At 43.3% G+C, this 3,024-nt stretch overlaps 1 annotated feature.

The window, feature by feature from the left end:
• Window positions 1,430-1,602: a silencer, noted in NCBI's record as "fragment chr11:50108005-50108177 (GRCh37/hg19 assembly coordinates)". NCBI's record gives its function as "represses an EF-1alpha promoter that drives an FKBP-Casp9 reporter gene in an ReSE screen in K562 erythroleukemia cells {active_cell/tissue: K562}" and the evidence as "EXISTENCE:reporter gene assay evidence [ECO:0000049][PMID:32094911]".

Genomic DNA, 3,024 nt, shown 5'->3' on the forward strand with positions numbered 1-3,024 from the left:
TTATTATTAAATACTCTGTCTCGCTAGGTGGATTCTCCTAAATTCACCCTCGTGTTCACACCCTGCCTTCAACTTCTCTCACATCTACCTCTTGGAAATGTACCTAACCCGTTTCTATTCCCTCGGAGCCTTGCACTATATTTTCCATGATGATATTTGATAAACTAATACAGAGAAATGGATTAATGGAATTGAATGGCATAATGGTTAACACATACTCACTTTAAGTGAGTTTTTTTAAAAGCACATCATCTTGATGCAGAAGCAATAACTTTTATGATGGACACTTTAGGCAATACATTGAATGGTTTTCGTCTGATGAGCCTTCCCAGTGTCCATTCAATCTCACTAACCATGTTGAGGGTAGCACTACCATTTTATCAGAAGCCAGCAATATGTCATCTTGCACGACATATTACTTGTTCATAGGATGATTTTGTCATAAAATAAAAAGAACCAAATAAGTATTTGCATTAAGAAACTATGTAAGGAAAAAATGATTGAAAGAGGCCAACAGACTTCAAAGTGTCTCCTCTCTGGCTTCATAAAAATACTACTTTACTCCTTTGACAGACACTGAAGCTGCTTAATTAATAGCCATATTCCTGAACCAACATTTTGGTTAGGATGTAATTCCCACCAATATTTTGGTTAGGTTGTCTAGGTAAAAGACTGTATTTCCCATGCTCCATGTATCTAGCTATTAGGGTTTTTCTTCTAGGAAGGTTCTACAAGTAATGCTGACTCAGCTAAGAGGTGTTTCCTTTTGTTTTTCCCTCTTCTTCCTACCTGCAAAGCAGACATAAAGGCTGTAGATTCAGCAGCCATTTTGGAACATGAAGCAATGTTAAGAATTGAAGACATATAATAGTATTGTAGAGTGTAAAGATACGGAGAGTTTGGGTCCTTCGTGAGCAGGGAATTATTCCCTCCATATTGAACTACCTACATCCAGAATTCTTTGATGTAAAGAAGATATACATTTCTGTCTCACTTCAAACTTCTTCAGTTTTTGTTTCCATGTATGTGTTCTACTCATCTCAATCTGAAGACGACTAACACATCCCCCAAGTTTATCATTAAAACCTATGAACTATATTATTCCAATAATAATGTTTCTTTGGCCAGGTGTGGTGGCTCATGCCTGTATTCCCAGCACTTTGGGAGGCTGAGGTGGGTGGATCACGAGGTCAGGAGATTGAGAGCATCTTAGATAAAACAGTAAAACACCATCTCTACTAAAAATACAAAAAAAATTAGCCAGGCGTGTTGGCAGGTGCCTGTAGTCCCAGCTACTTGGGAGGCTGAGGCAGGAGAATGGCATGAACCCAGGAGATGGAGCTTGCAGTGAGCCGAGATCATGACACTGCACTCCAGCCTGGGTGACAGAGTGAGACTCCAATTCAAAACAAAACAAAACAAAACAAAAATAATGTGGGCAGCGGTTCCAAGATGGCTGAACAGGAACAGCTCCAGTCTACAGCTCCCAGCATGAGCGACACAGAAGATGGGTGATTTCTGCATTTCCAACTGAGGTAAAGGGTTCATCTCACTGGGGCTTGTCAGACAGTGGGTAGAGGACAGTGGGTGCAGTGCGCCAAGCATGAGCCAAAGCAGGGTGAGGCATTGCCTCACCCGGGAAGTGAAAGGGGTCAGGGAATTCCCTTTCCTAGCCAAGCAAAGCTGTGACAGACAGCATCTGGAAAATCGGGTCACTCCCACCCTAATACTGCACTTTTCCAATGGTCTTAGCAAATGGCACACCTGGAGATTTTATCCAGTGCCTGTCTTGGAGGGTTCCAAGCCCGCGCAACCTTGCTCATAGCTAGCACAGCAGTCTGAGATCAAACTGCAAGGCAGCAGTGAGGCTGGGAGAGGGGCACCCACCATTGCTGAGGCTTAAGTAGGTAAACAAGTGACTGGGAAACTCAAACTTGGTGCAGCCCACCGCAGCTCAAGGAAGCCTGCCTGCCCCTGTAGACTCCACCTCTGGGGGCAGGGCATAGCCAAACAAAAGGCAGCAGAAACCTCTGCAGACTTCAATGTCCCTGTCTGACAGCTTTGAAGAAAGAAGTGGTTCTCCCAGCATGGAGTTTGAGATCTGAGAATGGACAGACTCCCTCCTCAACTGGGTCCCTGAATCCCAAGTAGCTTAATTGGGAGGCACCCCCCAGTAGCGGCTGACTGACACTTCATATGATCAGGTACCCCTCTGAGACGAAACTTCCAGAGGAACAATCAGGCAGCAATAATTGCTGTTCAGCAATATTTGCTGTTCTGCAGCCTCCCCTGCTGATACCCAGACAAACAGGGTCTGAAGTGGACCTCCAGCAAACACCAACAGACCTGCAGCTGAGTGTACTGACTGTTGGAAGGAAAACTAACAAACAGAAAAGACATCCACACCAAAACCCCATCTGTACATCACCATCATCAAAGACCAAAAGTAGATAAACCGCAAAGATGGGGAAAAAACACAGCAGAAAAGCTGAAAATTCTAAAATTCAGAGCATCTCCCCCCCTACAAAGGAATGCAGCTTCTCACCAGCAATGGAACAAAGCTGGAGAGAGAATGACTTTGACGAGTTGAGAGAAGACAGCATCAGATGATCAAAATTCTCCAAGCTAAAGGAGGAAGCTCAAACCCATCACAAATAAGGTAAAAACCTTGAAAAAAGATTAGGCGAATGCCTAACTAGAATAACCAGTGTAAGTAAGTCCTTAAATTCTCTACATAGATTGACCTGATGGAGCTGAAAACCATGGCACGAGAACTACATGATGAATCCACAAGCTTCAGTACCCAATTCGATCAACTGGAAGAAAGGGCAGAAGTGACAGAAGATCACATGAATGAAATGAAGTAAGAAGAGAAGTTTAGAGAAAAAATAATAAAAAGAAATGAACAAAGCCTCCAAGAAATATGGTACTATGTGAAAACACCAAATCTACGTCTGATTGGTGTACCTGAAAGCCATGGGGAGAATGGAACCAAGTGAGAAAACACTCTGCAGGATATTATCC

The sequence above is a fragment of the Homo sapiens genome, chromosome 11 (genome assembly GCF_000001405.40).
Source record: "Homo sapiens chromosome 11, GRCh38.p14 Primary Assembly".
In the NCBI taxonomy this organism is placed as follows: domain Eukaryota; kingdom Metazoa; phylum Chordata; class Mammalia; order Primates; family Hominidae; genus Homo; species Homo sapiens.